Source organism: Homo sapiens, chromosome 2, assembly GCF_000001405.40.
Source record: "Homo sapiens chromosome 2, GRCh38.p14 Primary Assembly".
Lineage (NCBI taxonomy): Eukaryota > Metazoa > Chordata > Mammalia > Primates > Hominidae > Homo > Homo sapiens.
This window is the reverse complement of record NC_000002.12, coordinates 1117516-1139347: the sequence shown is the minus strand read 5'-3', so window position 1 is coordinate 1139347 and position 21832 is coordinate 1117516. Positions and strand designations below refer to the sequence as shown.

At 39.6% G+C, this 21832-nt stretch overlaps 1 protein-coding gene across 16 annotated transcripts in view; it reads right to left on the bottom strand.

Moving 5' to 3' along the window:
• The window catches only part of SNTG2 (syntrophin gamma 2), a 416765-nt gene that overhangs the window by 228266 nt on the left and 166667 nt on the right, over positions 1–21832 (bottom strand). For 15 of the 16 annotated variants that reach the window (NM_018968.4, XM_047444795.1, XM_017004374.1 and 12 more), the window contains 2 exons: positions 1683–1726; positions 1539–1580 (listed from right to left, as the gene is read on the bottom strand). In NM_018968.4, coding sequence (NP_061841.2) covers positions 1539–1580; positions 1683–1726 — 86 coding nt within the window. Of the gene's footprint in view, positions 1–1538; positions 1581–1682; positions 1727–7637 lie in introns of all 16 variants that reach the window. The other variant, XM_017004364.2, reaches the window with a different exon arrangement.

Genomic DNA, 21832 nt, shown 5'->3' with positions numbered 1-21832 from the left:
AGGCAGGCAGAGTTGCTTGAACCCGGGAGGCGGAGGTTACGGTGAGCCGAGATTATGCCACTGCACTCTACACTGGGCGACAGAACAAGACTCTGTCTCAAAAACAAAATGAAACAAAACAAACAAACAAACAAAAAAACTGTTGCTCACAAGAATTTTACTCTCTCTGGGCTAGGATAGAAGTCATGAAGGTGTGTCTTGCCTCTCTATCAATTGTGATGTGTTTTCCCACAATAAGCAAAAGGATAACAGCACTTCATCTACTCGAGACTTTTTGGCTTTGGAGGCCAAGAAATATGCTGATCCTTGTTGTTGTGACTCCTTCCTCTGCCTAGCACAAATTAGAGGTCGATAACTACACATCTTGAATGAAGACACAGATGAATTCTGAGTGAGCGTGTAGGAAGTGATTCCCCGTTTAGTTACAGACTGCTGCGTGTGCCTGCCTTGGTTTCACGGAAATTTACTGCTATGCAGATGGGGTGACTTTTGGGTACTAGGGCTGTTTGCCCTTCCTTGGAACTAAGAGTTGGCTAATTGAAAAGATAAACACTGAAGAAGAAATGAGTGCATGCCTATTAATCTTCGTGGGACAAGTTAAATTACCAGCCTGCTTGCCTTTTGCTGCAACTCACAGAATTAAACTCCCGTGAGGGCTCTGCTGGCTACCTTGGGCCCCAGGCGTGTGTCCTGGACTCGGCTCCACTGCCTCTCCCCTTGACCCTGTGTCCCCCAGGTCACTTATCAGCACAGGGACTGCTCTGCCCGTCATCTCACCCGCTTCGCCCTCCACCTCATCTCTCAGCTGTAATACTGTCTCCACCTCCGCCCCCACCCCACAGGCACCAGACTGACCACGCGTCCCCACCACATGCTTCCTGGCATCAGCCCTATGGTGAGGCTGCACTCGGCTTCTCTCTTCCCAACAGCCAGAATGAGTACCTCGGGGATAGACGTCTGTTTCATCCGCCTAACCTGACGTGACATTGGAGAAAGCTCATCTCCATGGAAAGCATCCTGCACCGAATGCATCCTGACCCCCACCATCTTATGTGATCCTCAGAGGTCTCACCTGGTGTCCTCCACGGCACACATTCTATGCACGTGTGCTGCTGCCAGCCAACAGGGAGCAAAGGCGTGAAGGCCCTGCAGGCTCCAGCGCCCGGGCGGTACGGGGAGACCCTGTGAAGCCCTGACACCTCCTGTGCTCAGCACGATGATAACACTTCAGGAATCCCGGGTGAGTCACCTGCTCCCTGAGTTCCAGTGCTCTAACATGGGCTTCATCAAGTGTATTTTACAGCGTTTGTGAGGATCCCTGACAGGAATGCTCGTGAAGTGCCCCAGTCAGCACACAACAGTCGACAGTGGGCAGTTTATTAAGGTCCTTTTGTAACATGATTTACTAAACCTTTGAGCTTTCTTTCCAATTCTAACACTGCATCTATGGATAGACTCAGTGAAATATCAACTATAGAGACAAATAATTCAAATACAAGAATAATAAACAGAATAACTATAAAATGTAATTCACTTACCACTTCTTCATGAGTTGCATTTTCTACATGTATGCCATTAACCTGAACAGATGACAAAGTAAGAATGTTGAGAATAACGATTGATTAATACAAGTTAAAAATAAAAATGCAATCAAGTTAAGGATTAACGTGTACAATACTGACCTGGAGAACAGCATCTCCTACGAACAACATCCCTGTCTGGTCAGCTGCAGGGTGGCAAAAGTGGCAACAGTTTTAAGAGAAATCTCAGTGACATGCTTTGTTATGACAGTCATTTAAGCACAGGGCTTGCAGTAGCTGAAGTGGCCACGTGTGTGTGTGTGTGCATGTGTCCACGTGAGCAGATGTGTGTTTGTGTGTGCAGGTGCAGATGGGTGTGAATGTATGCATGTGTGTGCATGTGTGGGTGTGGGTGGCATGCATGGGTATTTGCGAGTCTGAGTGTGTGGATCTGTTGATATGTGCATGCCTGTGTGTACACATGGATGTGTGTGTGCATGTGTCCACGTGAGATGTGTGTGTGTGCAGGTGCAGATGGGTGTGCATGCGTGGGTGTGGGCGGCATGCACGGGTATTTGCAAGTCTGAGCATGTGAATCTGTTGATGTGTGTGCCATGGATGTGTGTGTGCATGTGTCCACAGGGGTGTGGGAAATGTGAACACATAGCAATAGGCGGCCACTTCATAAGGAAAGCTAGATTGGCCTCTTCATAAGGAAAGCTAGATTGATTTACGTGCATTAAGAGAGCTGCCTTCCAGTCACAGAAGACTTGTTTAGTGTGGAAAACGAATGTCACTTCCTCGTAACAAAGGGTTTCATTACAGGATATGGAAAGTCTGATGCACATTTTTCGTTAAGTGTGCAATAAACAAGGAATTCCCTCAGCCACTTAGCATTTCCCCTCATTCTCATAAGCAAACGTACAGAGACGGCTCTGATCAAAACAACTGTACCTAGAATATTAAAGGCAACAAAGAGAAAAACTTTGTATGAGAAAGTTTGACTATAATCTATGCAGCATGTTTTCACTTAACCTTTCCATTGTCAGAGAGGCAGACAGAGCCCCATTCAATACAACTGAACAACTCTGCACAAAAGCTAAGGCTTTTTTCCCCAATTTTTGCCTTCACATAGGTTTGTTTCAATTTTAAATCTTTGTTTAAATAGTGGAAAACAAGTAATAACCTGTTCTTTGAAAGTGGGAATGCTCTTGACAAACTATATACAGATTAACTGTCAATTCTAAATATTACTTCTAGTGTTTAGCAAATATTAAATCATGTTGAAACTATAGTTTTCATATCAGTGTACGTAATGGTACCGATTCTGTACAGCAATGGTACTGATGTTAAGCGATCCAAACAAAGTTCTCATTTGCACCGAAACTGTGCATGGCAAAGCTGCTGTGGCCCATGCATTGGTGGCAGCTCTTCTCCCCTGCGCCGTCTCCCTGTGTTCAAACTGCCCCCCTCCCTCTCGGTGTCTCTCACTGTCTCTGTGTCTCTCTGTCTCTTTCTATCTCTGTCTCTCAGTTCTTCGCATGCTGTTGTTCCCCTCTCTAGCCACACGAGGGTAGGCTGCATCCTGAAAACATGTATTGATTATCTGGAATAATGGACTCTCAAGCCGGGGCCTCAGAAGCATTACAAACCTAAATTTTAAGGGAATCAAAGGCTAACAGAAGAAAGTACACACAGAATATGTGGATTCCATGTGAAATTACACATGTGGTAGAGATTATATAGATCATATCATTAATATGGATGCTATAAAAGTGCAGAAAATTGCATATGATAAAAACAAGGTCCAAATCAATTAATCATCATAATTCTCAATATTTAGTTTAAGAAGCACCATCTTTATCAAATACCTACCTGACGCATGGGAAACTAAGCTTCAGCTTGTCTAACAGTATAGGGATAAGGTTGTTCTTATCAAAGTATTTTACCCCATGGTCTGAATGGACCTATAGAAAATAAAAATCTCTGTGCATTTAGACGCATTGATTTTTACAAAACAAACTTTAGCTACTTATGGAAAGTAGTCATTGTCATTGAACAAGTCCAGTGCAGGAGATAATGTCTTTGTTTTTTTGTTTTGTTTTGAGACAGAGTCTTGCACTTGTCACCCAGTCTGAAGTGCAGTGGCGCGACCCTGGCTCACTGCAACCTCTGCCTCCTGGGTTCAAGCGATTCTTTTGCCTCAGCCTCCCAAGTAGCTGGGATTACAGACATGCACCACCACACCCTGCCAATTTTTTTGTATTTTTAGTAGAGACGTGGTTTTGCCATGTTGGCCAGGCTGGTCTCGAACTCCTGACCTCAGGTGATCTGCCCGCCTCGGCCTCCCAAAGTGCTGGGATTACAGGCGTGAGCCACCACGCCTGGCCGAGGTAATGTGTTTTTAAAATGATACCTATGGTAATCACACAGTAAATGACTTAACCTCTTTGTTTAATGAAGGTCAATGAAGACGCATCTGACTCTTCTAACCTAAAGCAAAAAGTGGCATTTTGTTTTGTCAACAAGCCACATGTGTGCCTGAGATCCTACAGAACAGCAGAAAAAAATGACTGTCCAGAGCCAGGCACCAAAATGCATAACCAAATTCCCAGAAAAGAATGGTATCTAGAGTTTTCAGAATGGAGCTGCCATTTCTTGTCTGGAACTAACGCAGTGAGGTCTATTTTGCTCTAGAGTTGGTCAGAAGCCGCCTCCAGACATCAGAAAAACGCACATAGGGCAGTGCTGAGCCCATGGGTCAGCAGCCTCCCTGGACCCAGACTTTTTTGCAGGGCCTGGGGTTTAATGAGATGACGATGAATTGCAGCCCAGCGTCTGTCTCAATGAGGGGCTTAGCCCCCTGGCCAGCGGCTGCGGAGGGTGTACTGGGTCCCCCAGCAGTTCTGGCCCACCGGTGTTGCGCTTGATTTCTCTCGGGGCCTTAGCTGCCTCCCCGCGGGGCAGGGCTCGGGACCTGCAGCCCGCCATGCCTGAGCCTCCCCCACTCTGTGGGCTCCTGTGCGGCTGGAGCCTCCCCAACGAGCGACGCCCCCTGCTCCACCGTGCCCAGTCCCATCAACCACCCAATGGCTGAGGAGTGCGGGCGCAGGGGCAGGACTGGCAGGCGGCTCCACCTGCAGCCCCGGTGGGGGATCCACTGGGTGAAGCCAGCTAGGCTCCTGAGTCTGGTGGGGCCTTGGAGAACCTTTATGTCTAGCTAAGGGATTGTAAATACACCAATCGGCACTCTGTATCTAGCTCAAGGTTTGTAAACACACCAATCAGCATCCTGTGTCTAGCTCAGGGTTTGTGAATGCACCAATCGACACTCTGTATCTAGCTACCTGATGGAGACTTGGAGAACCTTTGTGTCGACACTCTGTATCTAGCTAATCTAGTGGGGAAGTGGAGAACCTTTGTGTCTAGCTCAGGGATTGTAAACTCACCAATCAGCATCCTGTCAAAACAGACCACTCGGCTCTATGTAAAATGGACCAATCAGCAGGATGTGGGTGGGGCCAGATAAGAGAATAAAAGCAGGATCCCGGCGCCACCAGTGGCAACCCGCTGGGGTCCCCTTCCACACTGTGGAAGCTTTGTTCTTTTGCTTTTTGCAATAAATTTGCTGCTGCTCACTCTTTGGGTCCACGCTGCCTTTATGAGCTGTAACACTCACCGCAAAGGTCTCCAGCTTCACTCCTGAAGCCAGCGAGACCACAAACCCACAGGGAGGAACCAACAACTCCAGACGCACCGCCTTAAGAGCTGTAACACTCACCACAAAGGTCTGCAGCTTCACTCCTGAGCCAGCGAGACCACGAACCCACCAGAAGGAAGAAACTCTAAACACATCCAAACATCAGAAGGAACAAACTCCGGACACGCCATCTTTACTGTAACACTCACCGCGAGGGTCCGCGGCTTCATTCTTGAAGTCAGTGAGACCAAGAACCCACCAATTCCGGACACAAAACCAATCTTCTTAAGCAATTTTGGTTCAGTGAAAGGGAGGAGGAAGAAGAGTCATTCCCAGTTATTAAATGAAAGGTAATTACAAATACTTTCCAACTAAATCTGTGAAATGTGTTTCAGCTGACGGACACTTTTAGCCTTAAAAAAAATTAAAAAGTGGTAAAATGGGTGATAAAATAAAATCATGAAAGCTTGATTTTAATTCGAAATTTTAATTAGTGATCCTAAATAAAATGAACTATTTGGTCAGATTAGGCAAGGTTTGTTGATTTTAGCTGAAAAGTGATTCTAGTTCATCCCTACGGTAATACAGCCACTGCCTCATTATACAAAATGGAAATACAGCATAATGCATTTTAATCCATATAAATATTCAAACTCCTGCAAAATGCTGTAATGAGGTAATACTTTATTATACTTGCTTTATCAAGATAAAGTAATTATAGGGTTATCTGAGGTCATGTAAAGGTAATATAATCAAGGTTTGGAACACAACTGTGTTATCGTGAACATAATTGTGTTTTCTTGAAAATTAATTAGAATTTGTAAAGACACTTCTGTTAAATATTTATTCATATATACATGTGGGTAGTGTTATATAATGATAATATTTGTTACCAAGTCTTAATATTAACTGAGTTAGATTTTATTATTTATTTGAATTAATAATGACTAAAATTACTGAGCATTTCTTACAGGTCAGACAACCTTCATAGTCCTTATGGACGTATTTAAACCACATCACAACCCCATGTGTAAGGCATAATCATCACCCCACAGGTGAAAATTCTGGGCCTCAGAGTCAAAATTCAACACCTGTGCATGTCTGATTAGACACTGAGCAGAGAATGTAGGGCAAAGAAGACATATGGTACGACTTTAATTACTGTGACGTTCAAAACCAAGCAAAACTAAACAATGTGTTGTTTGGGGACACATATGTGGCCAAACTGTAGAGAAAGGCAAATGCATGGTTCTCACTGAACTCAGGAGAGAAGGGGCAGGTGCAGGGCATGGGGCCCTGGGAGGTGTTTAGCTCTAAAACTGGAGGGAGGGTGAGTGGGCGTTTCCTCTAGTCTGGTTAATGGATCGTATCATGTACACTCAGCTAACACATGGCTCAGCTTCTTCCACAGCTTACACTCAGCTTACACAGTGGAGGATGGCTAACCCGCCTAACAGCGGCGGACCTGCAGCCAACCCCGCAACTCCGCTCAGAGTCACCCCCTCAATCCCTACCCACTGCCTCCAGAACAGACAACCTAGAAACAGAATCGAGGTTTACTTACTACCACGATGACACATGATCTTTTGACACATAATCAAAAGATAACATGACAAAACATAAGGGAAAATTGCCTACATCAAGAGAGAATTTTTTCTTTACAAGTAGTCTGCGTGGTGTCGAAACAAGAGCAGCTGGGGTGATCTGAAGTCATACCTTCTGCAAACTCAATTCCAGGCGTCTGGAAAGGAGTGCTGCTTTTACTCAACTTCCCCGTGGCTCTGAATGTATTTGTGTTCTTGGGTGTTGCAGATTAAATGCATGCTGTCAAACCTATCAACCTGTGCATGTATGTGTGTATGTATGTGTGTGTGTGTGTGTATATATATACACACACATATATACACATATATATACACATATATATACACACACATATATATGGAGATTATCTGATTAAATAAGCTCTAATTTTATTTTTAAAATGAAAGATTTCTGAAACTTTAAGTTTACAGTTCAACTTATTGTTTTGTAAAACAATGTAGCAGAGACTATATTAAAATCCATATGAGAATGTGTATTTGATAGTTTAGTGAAAAGCTGTTAGCCTAGGATATAGGTGCAAGTAATGGAAACATTTTCACATTAGGTGAAGAGCTCAAAAGAAAAAGGATTAGTGGCCAGGTGCGGTGGCTCACGCCTATAATCCCAGCACTTTGGGAGGCTGAGGCGGGCGGATCACGAGGTCAGGAGATCGAGACCATCCTGGCTAACACAGTGAAATCCCGTCTCTACTAAAAATACAAAAACTTAGCTGGGCGTGGTGGCGTCGCCTGTAGTCCCAGCTACTCAGGAGGCTGAGGCAGGAGAATCACGTGAACCCGGGAGGTGGAGGTTGCAGTGAGCTGAGATCACACCACTGCACTCCAGCCTGGGCAACAGAGTGAGACTCTGTCTCACAAAAAAAAAAGAAAAGAAAAAAAAAGAAAAAGGATTTGCAAACAGGTTAAACGGGACCCTCATAAAGGTGTGAACTAGAAGAACAGGAGAGTTTCTGCATTTTCTCTGAAACTTTACACTGAGGGAAATGAATAGTGTGTCCCATGTTTGTGCTCATTTTCAAAAGAGCTCACTTTAACGATCTGTAGATTCCAAGGATATCACTAAAATACATAATCTGACAGGATGGAAGTCAAATGGATTTGCCAAAAACAACTTGAAGCTTGCACACCGCAGGCCAGGGTGTGGCTGAATCCATCCCCTGAGCATGACTCTGGAACTTAAATTGCCTTTTTACCTCCTGATAAGAAAGAATAGCACTCCAGCACCTAAATGTTTCTACCAAGAAAGAAACACTAGCCGAACACAGACACCAAGAACTGTCAGTCAAAACACATCTTCTAATTAAAACTGACTTCAGCAAATTCACCCAGGAATAAATCAGACAGTGCATGTATGATCTTAACAGACCAGAATGTCTTACAGTTGGAAACCTGCGTCAACCCCACAGAAAGCTGACTGCATCTCATTAGCAGGACACTTTACAGTTTGGCCCAAGGCTGTGTCTTGTCTGGGGCTCCTGTTGACTGTATAAATCCTATAATCATTGCTTGAATTTACATTGTGTTACCTGATAAAACAAAGGTCATTAAATTTGCTTTTATTACCATTTAGTCAAAACTATAGAAAAACTACTATGGTATTGATGATAGGCTGCAGGATTTAGCTATCTGCGGCGAATGAAACTCTAAATTGACAGTGCCAATGTGAACGCCTAAGTTTCAACAGACTTTCTTTACCTCTGCAGAGTACCCAGTGATGACCGACTCATCACGAAGGGCCATGAAAAATGCTTCTCTACACAGAGTTTTTAATCTCCAACACTGTACTCTAGCAAATGAATCAAGCCTCTTGGCAAGAAATACATGCTTTGTGACTTGGGCACAAGACTTTCTCAGGTTACTCCAAAAATGTGGACCTGGAACATTCTTTTAAATAAAATAAAATGTTTGCAGGAGTTCTTGGGGAGAGGGAATAAATGTTGAAAGGATGGACAAGCCATCTAGATGGAGTTCCCACCAGCCCGACTGTGATGATGTATCAAAAAGAAAACTTTAATTGTCATTTCTTAAAATAATTTCAGCAGTGTTACAGTTCTTTTTGAATTTTTCTAGCTGGAAAAATTGTAATGCAAAAAAAGATTTTATTATGTAAAATATCATTAATCTGAAAGGAAAAATTAAAATTTATCTTCTTTATCATATACATTAGTTGGTTTTATTCAACTGAGGAAACCATATTGCTATTTTTAAACTGTGAGTTTATTCTCAGAGTTTGCTAGAAAAAATTATGCAAAAAATTATGTTGTCACTTCACCAAATGGCTCCAAAGAATGTCATCTATGAATCTGGGATGTCCATGTCCATGATGAGTGACAGCCTATTTACTCAGGAGAAGCAGTAAAGGAAGCCAGAGACTCACAGACTCAGAAATACTTTCATTGCTCATATTGTGTAAAACAAGCAAGAAAAATAAGACAGGCACATATGGCTTTTAAGTTTTTTGGCCAAGAATGTAAGATGAATGAGTTCTTTTGCCTGTAACTCTTATTGTCAGGAACTCTACAATAAGAAGTAGACTTGCTCCCTACAAATGTTAAGTGCATGTATGGCCTGCAAGAATTTTTATTACAACTTGTGAACACCACCTTCAAATATTTTATATATTAAATTCCATGAAGATGACATGTTATAAAATATTAAAGAGGTATTTAAAGGCATTCTCTTGATGATAAGAAGCCACATTGTCCAGGCTCAATAAACTTTGCAATGATGTATTATTGATGGCAGAGTCTATTGCACAGCTCATCAGAAATCCTCCAAGCCCTACTCAACACCATGACAACCAGAAGTGGTTGAGGTTTCCAGTTTCACTTCAAAAGGATTAAAGGTGAAATGCCGTAAGTTATATGCATATTACAATTGCTAAATTTAAAACATGGAACATTAAGGACTACTTAGAATGACAAATAATACATACAAAGTTAAATTAATGCGGTCACAAACTTGACCTTCTTATTTGACTTTATGGTTTGGCTCTATGGTTTGTCTCAGATGAGACAACCGTGATGAAATTATTAATTTCCAAATTTATCCAAAATTGTATATTTGTGTCTATTTACCAGAAGAGACACATTTCCCTGGGAAGGAATTCTCAAATAATGATATAGACCTTTATATAAAAGAAACGATGTACCATAATGGACACTGAGTTCAAAAGCATGTTTGCAGGACATGCAGATACAAACTTCATCTTGTCATTTATCATAAAGACTTCTGGTAAAGGCCAGTGACTTTCTAAAACAGCGTCAAAGAAGGATGTTCTGCAGAGGAGCTAAATAGTGAGAACCACCTGTAGTTTTCTTAGGAAATCATTTGTTAGAAGACTTAGAAAAATGAATGAACGAATAGCAAATCCTTTAGCTTATCTCAAGAACCAACTGTCTCATCTCACTTTTGGTACTTTCTGAAAATGGCCTGCATAAAATGTATATGTCGTTTATTCGAGGTCGATTCCTCTGCTGTATAACATTTTTCTCTGAAGATGGAAAGGCTAGACACTTATTCCTAGGTGTATGATCTCCCCTTCAGCACTGGAAGTAGATGAGTAATCATTTCCTAATCATAAACTGAATTGTTTCCCAACAGTTTCCAAGTCAAAAATGCAGATTTCATTTTTAAAAAATCAACTGGAATAACAGAAAGTCACATTAAGTGGCTGTGAAAAGACAAACTGAGCATTCCCTGTGCACTCTCATCCTGGCTGATGGCTATCAGCCCTGGACGAGAAGATTTCCAGTGTCTGTTAGTCCAGTGCAGAACCTGTCCACAAGAAAACACCAAGCAGAAGTCCTAGTTTCTAACACAGTTTTCACCCTCCACCATATCATGGCAGTATATAAACAATATTGAAAGTTGGCACAGGAAACTCAGATTAAACTGTGACGGTCTGAGAGAAGCAGGGAGACCAGAGCTTGTATTCATTTATCAAACACTTACTATTTCTGTACTGTGCATTTTGTGTTGATGGAGGCATCACTTAAACGAAAGAGAAATAATGAAAGTTATGAATAAATGTGTAAGGCAGATATTCATTATGTTGCAAAGCCTGTTGAAAGAAGAAAACTTCCATAATAACACAAAGGTAAATTCAAATCCATGGAATACATTTTTCAAATTTTTTTATGTATTCATATGTATAATAAAATGTATATAATTATTTTGCTCATTTTTAAAAAGCAATTTTGTCTTTATACAGCCCCAAATGGTGAAATGAATAGACTCGAGATATAATCTTGATTCCATTATTCACAGTATGCGAAAATGAATAAATTGCATTCCTTATAGAATGGCAAATTAAAAACCATATGATCATCTAAATAGATTCAGAAAAAAAAAGCATTTAATAAAATTTAACACTTCTTCATGACAAAAACTCTCAGTAAATAGGTACAGAAGAAAAGTACTTCAAAACAATAAAGGCCACATATGACAAACCCACAGCTAACATTATGCTTAATGGAAAAGCTGAAATCTGGAACAAAACAAGGATGCCCACTCTCACCACTCTTACTCAACATAGTACTGGAAGTCCTAGCTAGAGCACTCAGGCAAGAGAAATAAATAAAGGACATCCAAGTTGAAAAAGAGGAAGTCAAATTGTCCCTTTTTGCAGATGACATGATCTTGTATAGAAAAACCTAAAGGTTCTACCAAAAAACTCTTAGCACTGATAAATGAATTCAGTAAAGTTACAGAATACAAAATCAACGTACAGAAATCAATAGTGTTCTAAGTACGAACAATGAACTTGCTGAAAAAAATCAGTAAACCAATCCCATTTACAATAGCCACACACATACACACATACACACACACCCCTTGGAATAAATTTAACCAAGGATATGGAAGATCCCTACAAGGAAAACTATGAAACACTGATAGAAAAAATTGATGATGACACAAAGGAATGACATAACGTGTTCACAGACTGGAAAAATCAAGACTGTTAATATGAACATACTCCCCAAAGCGATCTAAAAATTAAATGCAAACCCTATCAAAATACCAATGACATTCTTCACAGAAATAAAAAAGAAAATTGTAAAATTTGCGCAGAACTACATGAAGCCCCAAGTAGCCAAAGCAATCCTGAGAAACAAGAATAAAGTTGGAGGTATTACACTTCCTAAGATTATATTATAAAGCTATAGTAACCAAAGCAACGTGGTACAGGCAAAAAATAGATACAGCAATCAAACAAGATAAGTATCCCAGATATTAATCCATGTATCTACAGACAACTGATTTTTTTTTTTACAAAGGCACCAAGAACATACATTGAGAACATTTTCTCTTCAATAAATGGTGCTGGGAGAACTGGCTATTCACTTGCAGAAGAAGGAAACTGGACTCCCATCTCTCACTTTGTATAAAAAAATCAACTCAAAATAGATCAAAGATCTAAATGTAAGACCCAAAACTATAAAACGACTAGATGATAAAAATAGAGGCAATGGTTCTGGACACTGGTCTGAGAAAAAATTGTATAAAACCTCAAAAACACAGATAACAAAAGCAAAAATAAACAAATGGGATATATCAAACTAAAAAGGTTCTGCACAGCAAAGGAAACAACAGAGTGAAGAGACAAGCCACGGAATGGGAGAAAATATTTTCAAACTATTCATTTGACAAAGGATTAATATCAGCATATACAAGGAACTCAAATCTCTCGACAGCAAAAAACAAATAATCCTACTGAAAAGTATGCATATCAGCTGAATAGACATTTCTCAAAAGAAGAAAAATGACTAAATATATGAAAAAATGCTTAAAATCACTAATCATCAGGGCAATGCAAATAAAAACCACAATAAGATATTATCTTATCCCGGTTAGAATGGTTATTACTAAATAGACCAAAAAATGACAAATGTTGGTGAGGGTGCAGAGGAAGGGAAACTCACACTGCTGGTGGTAATGTAAACTGGTATAGCCAACATGAAAAATATGGGCTTTCTCAAAAAAACTAAAAATAGAACTACCATATGATTCTGGCAAACCTGCCACTTTTATCCAAAGGGAAGAAAATCAGTATGTCAAAGATATATCTGCACCCCATGTTAATTGTAGCAATATTTGCAATAGCCAAGATACGGAACAAAGCTAAGTGTCCCACAACAGGTGAATGAATAAAGACAACGTGGTGTATATACACAGTGGAGCACTATTCAGCCACACACAGAATGAAACACTCCCATTCGTGGCAGAGTGGGTGAACCTGTAGGACATTACTTTAAGTGAAGTCAGCCAGGCCCAGGAAGTTAAACACTGCATGTTCTCACTCATATGCGGAAGCTGGTCTCATAGAACTAAGGAGTAGAATAGAGGTTACTAGATGTTGGGAAGGGGAGGAGGTAAGAGAGATGTGGAGAGATTTTTTTAAGGATACACAGTTACAGCTAGATAGGAGGAATACTTCTAGTGTTCTATAGCACTGTAGAATAATGATAGTTAGCAATAATATATTGTTTATTTTCAAATGGCTAGAAGAGAGCATATTGAATATTCCCAACACAAAGAAATAATAAATGTTGGAGATGATGAATATGATAATTATCCTGATCTGAGCACTATAAATTGTATGTATTGAAGCATCATTATGTACCCCATAAATATGTACAATTATGTGTTAATTAAAAAAAACACAGCTTCACCCTATCCCTGTACACCACACCCTACTGTCTACTTCTGTCATTCATTCTATCATCATATCCTGTTCTGAAATTTACTAACTGATCTAATGTGTTACTTTTTGCCCCAAGAGAGAAAAAGTTTCTCAATTGAGAATAAATTAAGCAAAACACACATCAAAATTAAAACAGCTGACATGTATTTACTGTAAATCTTTAATTGTAAATCTTTAAGAAAAGTAGCATGTCCATCTAAAGTATGCTTTCCTTCTGTGATTTATATTTACAATAACTCATCTTAGAAAACAATTCTGTTTTGGAGGTATGGTAGTTATTAAGGGTTTTGAATGACTAACACCAAGATATTAGAAGAAAGCAGCAAACTTCAAACCTAAGGATACAAATAAAAATATGCACAAATGCATGGGTGCTTTGAAGGCAAAGGAAGGGAGGGAGAGGGAAGAAGCAAGAGGAGGACAGGAGGAAGGGACAGAGGAGAGGAAAACTCAGCTTCCTGTTACACACTCTTGATTTAAAAAAGGACAAAAAATCTCTACTTTGATAATAAAGTTCATAAATGAAGAAATGAAGTTTTAATATTATGAAATAAATATGCTATGCAAGAAATCTCTCGAGCAGCCAGACTTTAGTAGCTATTTATAGTAACTGAATATTTAGCGTATTAAAATGAAGACTTTTAAATAAAAAGTTTTATTTAACATAATTTGAAGGTTAATGCTGGTGTTGATTCAAATTGTGAATGTCCTGTGGGTGTCCAGTAGATTTTTGTTACTATTAATAATAACAGTATGTCTAAGGCATACAAAAAGATGTTATAGATAGTAAAATGGTTACTATAGTGAAGCAAATTAACATATCCATCATCTCACCTGATTACCCATATTTTTGTTTTGTTTTGTTTTGTGTGTGTCAAGAGCAGCTAAAATGTAGCAGGAATCCCCAACACGGTATGATTGTGTGACCTTCAGTCCTCATGCTGAGCACTGGACCTCTCAACTCGCTCGCCTACTTGTGCACGGCTTTGCATCCTCTGACCTCCAGCTCCTCATTCCTCCCCACCACCATCTCCTCACTTCTGGTGACCACTGTATTATTCTCCTTCTCTGCGTGTTTGACCTTTTCGTCAGGTTCCACCCATAAGTGAGGTCATGTGGTATTTCCCTTTAATGTCTGGCTTGTTTCCCCTGGCATAGCGTCCTCCAGGTTCAACCCTGTTGTGACAAAGGGCAGGACCTCCTCCTTCTTTAAGACTGAGTAGGCCGGGCGCGGTGGCTCACGCCTGTAATCCCAGCATTTTGGGAGGCTAAGGTGGGAGGATCATGAGGTCAAGAGATCGAGACCATCCTGGTTAACACAATGAAACCCCGTCTCTACTAAAAATACAAAAAAAATTAGCCGGGCGTGGTGGCGAGCACCTGTAGTCCCAGCTACTCAGGAGGCTGAGGCAGGAGAATGGCATGAACCTGGGAAGCAGAGCTTGTAGTGAGCTGAGATCGCACCACTGCACTCCAGCCTGGGCAACAAAGCAAGCCTCTGTCTGAGAAAAATTAAAAAAAGACTGAGTAATATTCCACCCTATATATTTTCAAATTGTAATTGACAATTTATAATCATATAAACTTACAGGGTAAAAATAATGTTATGATTTATGAATGCAATATGGGATAATGAAAGCAAGCTGGTTAACATATCTATGACCTCAAATACTTCACATGTTTTTATAATGAAAACAAGATAATTTTCTTAGCAATTCTGAAATGTACAATAATCTATTAAAAAGCTATCTTTGCCACACTGTGCAATAGAACTTAAAAAAAATTCTTCCTGCACAACTGAGAGTCTGTGCCCTCTGACCGTCATCTCCCCATTCTCCAATCCCCAGCTTCTGTGACCATCATTCTACTCTCTGCTTCCATGAGTTCAATTGTTTTAGATTCCACATATAAGTGAGAGCATGTGGCGCTTGTCTTTCTGTATCTGCCTTGCCCATTTTTAATTGGTTTACTTGTTCTATTAACCTGAATGAATTCTTCATAAATTTTGAATATTAACCTCTTATCAGATACATGTTTTGCAAATATACTTTCCCAATCCATAGGCTGCTGGTCTTGTTTGCTGTGCAGGAACTTCAGTTTGATGTAGTCCAATTTATCTATTTGTGCTTTTGTAGTCTGAGGTTGTGGTGTGACAGCCAAGAAATTATTGCCAAGGCCAATATCAACGAGCTCTTCTCCAACGTTCTCTTCTAGGAGTTTTATGGCTTCTGATCTTACAGTTAAGACTTTCATCCATTTTTGGTAGGTTTCCTATACGGTGTAAGACAAGAGTCCAATTTCACTCTTTCACATGTGGAAGTCCAGTTTTCCCAGCAACATTTATTGAAAAGACTATACATTCTCCATTGTATCCTCCTGATGCCCTTAGTCCAAAATTAGTTGAGCATGTACGTTTAGTTTTACTTCTGGGCTTTCTATTCTGCTCCACTGGTGTAGGTGTCTGTTTTTTATACCAACACCATACTGTTTTGATTACTATAGTAATATAATCTAAATCAGAAAGTGTGATGCCTCCAACTTTTTTTTTCTTAGAACTGTTTGGCCATTCAGGGTCTTTTGTGATTCCATATGAATATTTGAATTGTTTTTTCTGTTTCTGTGAAAAATGTCATTGGGATTTTGATAAGGATTACACTGAATCTATATATAACTTTGGCTCATAGATATTTTAGCAATATTAATTATGATGAGCCCAGACATGAGCCCAAAATATCTTTCCATTTATTGGTATCTTCTTCAATGTTTTGAATTGTCTTCATCAATATTTTACAGTTTTCATTGTATAGGTCTTTTATCTCCTTGGTTATACTTATTGCTAAATATTTTATTTTTTTCTGATGCTTGCATTAATAAATGGGATTGTTTTGATTTCTTTTTCAGCTATTATTTGTGTATGACAATGCTATTAATTTTTGCATATGAATTTCATATCCTGAAACTTTACTGAATTATTGGTTCTAACAGTTTTTCTGTGGAATCTTTGGGGTTTTTACAAATAGAATCATGCCATCTGCAAATAGATAACTTTACTTCTTCCTTTCTTATTCGGATGCCTTTTTTTTTTTTTTTTTTTTGTCTGATTGCTAATTGCAAGTACTTCCAGTGTCATGTTGAATAAAATCGGCAAGACTGGGCATCCTTGTCTTGCAGAGGATCTTAATGTTAAAGCGTTTGTTCATATTGATTATAATGCTAGCTAGGAATTTTTCATAAATAGCTTTATTGTGAACATGCTGTCTATACCTGAACTGGTGAGATTTTTTATCATAGATATTGGGCTTTGTCAAATGATTTTTCTGCATCAGTCTGTTAATGTGATGTGTCACATTGGTTAATCTGAAAATGTTAAACTGGCCTCACATGCCATGGATGAATCCTACTTGGTCATGACATGTAATCTTTCTAATGTGCTGTTGGACTTGGCTTGCTAAAGTCATTATGAGAATGTTTCTGTCATTTGTTCATCAGAAAAATTGGCCTGTAGTTTTCATTGTTAGTGACATCTTTGTTCAGCTTAGGTGTCACGGTGATGCTGGCTTTTAAAAATGTATACATAATTATTCCCTCTAGATTTATTTGTTGAAAGAGTTTGAGAAGTATTCATATTATTTCTTCTTTGAATATTTGGTATAATTCAGCCATGAAGCCATCTGGTCCCATGCTTTCTTTTGTTGAAAGGATTTGATTACTTTTTCTATGTCCCTATTTGGTTTTGGTCAGTTCAGTCTTTCTATTTTTTCCTGACTCAAACTTGGCAGGTTGTATTTTTCCACAAATTTAACCATTTCCTCTAGGTAGTCCAATTTTCTGGCATATAATAGTTCATAATAGTCCCTTATGATCCTTTCATTTCTGAGGTGTCCATGGTAATGCCTTCACTTTTTTTATTTATTTGAAACTTCTGTTTCTTAGATTATAATATGGTTAGGCTTTGTGTTCCCACCCAAATCTCATCTTCAATTATAATCCCTGCAATCACCCTGATCCCCACGTGTCAAGGGAGAGAACAAGTGGAGGTGATTGGATCATGGGGGCAGTTTCCCCCATGCTGTTCTCATGATACTGAGTGGGTTCTCACAAGGTCTGATGGTTCTACAAGTGGTAGCTAGTTCCTCCTGCCTTCATTCTCTTTCCTGCCACCTTATGAAGAAGGTGCCTTGCTTCCCCTTTACCTTCTACTATGATTGTAAGTCTTCTGACGCCTCCCCAGCCATGCGGAACTGTGAGTCAAACACTTTCCTTCATATAAATTACCCAGTCTCAGACAGTTCTTTATAGCAGCGTGAGAACGGACTAATACAGATGAAGAGTTTGCCAATTTTATTTTTTTTTAAAAACAATTCTTAGTTTTACTAATTCTTTTTATTGTTTACTATTGTCTGTTTGACTTATTTCTGTTCTCATCCTCTTTCCTTCCTTCTGTAAACTTTTGGTTTACTTTGTTGTTCTTTATCTCATTTCTTGAGGCTTAATGTTAGGCTATTTAGGATCTTTGTTTTAATGTAGGTATTTATCACTATCAATTTCCTTCTCACAACTGTTTTTGCGGCATCCCAGAAGTTCTGGTAGGTTGTATTTCTGTTGTTGTTTGTCTCAAGATAGATAGTTTTCAAATTTCACTTTTGATTCCTTCTGTGACCCATTGATTGTTCAGGGCAATACTGTTTAATTTCTACCTATTTATGAATTTTCCAAGATTCCTCCTGTTACTGATTTTTAGTTTCCTTCCATGTGGTCAGAGATGATACTAGATAGAATTGCAATACAAAATTTGTTAAGACTTGTTTTATGGCCTAATATATGGTCTATCCATGTGTGTGTTCCATGTGTGCTATAGAAAAATGTGTATTTTGCTGCTATTGCATGGAAAGTTCTTTATATATCTGATAAGTCTTTTTGGCCCAAAGTGCAATTCAAGTCCTGTATTTTCTTATTGATTTTCTGTCTAGTTGAACTATCTATTGTTGAAAGTGGGGTGCTGAAGTCCCCTATTACTGTTGTATTGCTATGTATTTATCTCTTTATGTTCATTAATATTTGCTTTATGTATTTAAGTACTCCAATGTCGGATGCATATATGTTTATGATTGTTATGTCCTCCTGATAAATTATCCCCTTTTCACTAGATAAAGGCCTTCTTTGTCTCTTGTGACCAGTTTGATTTAAAGTCTGTTTTATCAGATGTTAAGTTTAACTACCCCTTCTCTCTTTTGGCTACCATTTGCATGGAATATTGTTTCCCTATCTTCACTTTTAATATGTGTGTGTCCTTAAAGATAAAGCGGGTCTCTTATAGCCAGTATATAGTTGGGATCATCTCTTTTTCAGTCTACTTCACCACTATATGTCTTTTGATGGGAGAATGTAATCAATTTATATTCCAGGTGATTATTGATAGATAAGGAATGACCAATGTAATTCTCTCATTTTCTTGTTGTTGGTAATATTCAAGGTGATTGATAGATAAGGAATGACCAATGCAATTCTCTTATTTTCTTGTTTGTAATATTCAAAGTAATTATTGATAGATAAGTAATAACCAATACCATTTTCTTCTCTTGTTGTTTTGTAATATTCAAGGCGATTATTGATAAAGAATGACAAATGCCATTTTCTTATTTTCTTGTTTGGAATATCCAAGGTAATTACTGATAGAGAAAGAATGATCAATACCATTTTCTCATTTTCTTGTTGTAATATTCAAGGTGATTATTGGTAGATAAGGAACGATCAATGCCATTTTCTTATTTTCTTGTTGTAATAGTCAAGGTGTTTATTGATAGAGAAGGAATTATCAATGCCATTTTCTCATTTTCTTGTTGTTTGTAATATTCAAGGTGATCATTGATAGATAAAGAATGACCAATGACATTTTCTTATTTTCTTATTTGTAATATTCAAAGTGATTATTGATAGAAAAGGAATGACCAGTCATTCTCTTATTTTCTTATTTGTAATATTCAAGGTGATTATTGACAGATAAGAAATGAGCAATGCCATTCTCTTATTTTTTTTGTTGTTTGCAGATCCTCTGTCCCTTTCCTCCACTCTCGTCTGCCTTTGTAACGTGATAATTTTCTGTGGTGCTCAGCTTTGATTCCTTTATTTTCACCCTTTGTATGTCTGCTATCATTTTGTTGCTGTTGTTGTTTTGTGGATATTATGAAGCTTATGTAAAATATCTTATAGTCTACTATTTTAAGCTGCAGACAACTTACATTTTTTTATACAAAAAAAAAAAAAACGAGCCTTTAACTTCTCCTCCACAGTTTATGTTCTTGATGTCACGATTTGCATCTTTTGACATTGTGTATACCTTAAAAAGTTATTATGGCCTTAGTTTTACTGTTTTGACTTTTTACCTTCATACTGGAGACATGTATGGGTTACACACCACCATGATGACACTGGACTATGCTGAATTTGACTACGTACTTCCTTCTACCCGTGAGTTTGGTACCTTCAAGTGTATTTGTGATAGTGATTACACTTTTCTAGCTGCTTGAAGTACTCCTTTAAGCATTTCAGATACAGCAAGCATAGTGATTATGAAATCCATCAGCTTTTTTCTTTTTTTTATCTAGGAAAGACTTACTTTCTCCATTTCTGAAGGGCAGCTTTGCTGAGCACAGAATTCTTAGCTAATGGTTTTTGTGTTTGTTTGTTTTCCCTGTAGGTATCATACTATTCTTTCCTGGCTTTCAAGTTTTCTGCTGAGAAATCCACTGATAGACTAATGGAGATTCCTTTATATGCAACTTGACACTTTTGCTTCATTTAAAATTATCCTTTTTTTGCCTTTGACTTTTGACACTTTGATTAAAACGATCCTTGATGAAGACCTCTTTGGGTTGAATATGTTTGGTGATCTTTGAGCTTCATGAAATTGAATGCCCATATCTCTCCCAAGACTGAAAACTTCCAAGTTTTCAGTAATTATTTTATTAAATAACCTTTCTGTCCTTTTTTTCTGTTTTTGCTCCTTCTCAGTCCCATAATACAGAACTTTCTTCATCTGATTGCTTCCTGTGAGTGCCACAGGCTTTCTTCACTATTTTTATTCCGTTTTCTATTCACCTCCCCAAATGAGTCATTCCAAAAGACCTCTCTTCAAGTTCACAGATTTTTTTTTTCTGCTGCTTAATCTAGGTCTGCTATTGAAGTCCTCTACTGAATTTTTTTATGATTTCATTGAGTTATTCAGCTTTGAGATTTCTGTCTGGTTCCTTTTTATGCTATCTGATTCTTATCTCTTCTAATTTTTAAGTAGTGCCTTTTGTAGGGGAAGATTTTCACATACAGATGGGCCTGAGGGTGCTGGTTGGACAGGGTGCAGGGGTATAGTCTCTGTGCAGGTTCTTCAGTTGTAATGAATGTCAGGAATGACTGTGGGTGTCTAAGTGGCATAGGCTGCAGGAATTCAGGACAATGATGGTGGCAGCATAAGTCTAGGGTCCTTGGTGGCAAGGGCTTCATGTATCCTACTACTTTTGACTTCTCTGTAGAGGGGAGTCTCAGCTGAGGGGATCTTTCTCAGCGCAGGGTCTGACACGGCCCACAAGCAGCTGCAGTGGCACTGAGATCCAGGGCACAGGTGCACAGGGCAGCTGTGGAACCAGGGCCCTGGGGTGACGTGAAGCCCTTGTGGCATCCGGTGCTCAAGGTGCAGATTCACTCTCTGGGGCTCAGGTGGCTTCAGATTGTCCACAAAGCTGGGGTCTGTTGTTCTGAGGCAGACTCTGGCAGTTCAGACCTGGGGGGCCAGGTTTTAGCTCTGGTTCTGACCCTGGGGGGCTGGACATAGCACTGTCATGGCCCTGGGAGATAAGGGGTTCTTCAGAAGCTCAGCTCTTGGGATACAGGGCACAGCTGCAATCCTGGACCCAAAACCAACAGGGCACAGCAGCAACTAGAGCCCAGGAGATGAGGTGCCACACACTAGTGACTCAGGGATGGCAGGACATGGCAGTGGCCCAGGCCCTGTGAGGCCAGTGCAGCAGCAGCAAAGACCCGGGAATGGCAAGATGCCAGCGCAGCCTGGGGCCCACAAGGTGGGGAGCAGTGCAGTGAGGACTCCATGCCCTGGGGAGGCAGGAACCTCTGTAGCTTGAACTCTGGGGAGCTCGTCCAGTTTCAGGGAGCTGTTGCTGTTCACCCTGGAGGCTGGGGTGGCACAGCTCCGCCTCGGTTCTGATTCCTGGGGAACTGAGCTACCTCATCTGCTCAGCCCCAGAAAGCACAGCCACACACAGGACTCCGTGAGGGCTCCAGCTCCCCAGGG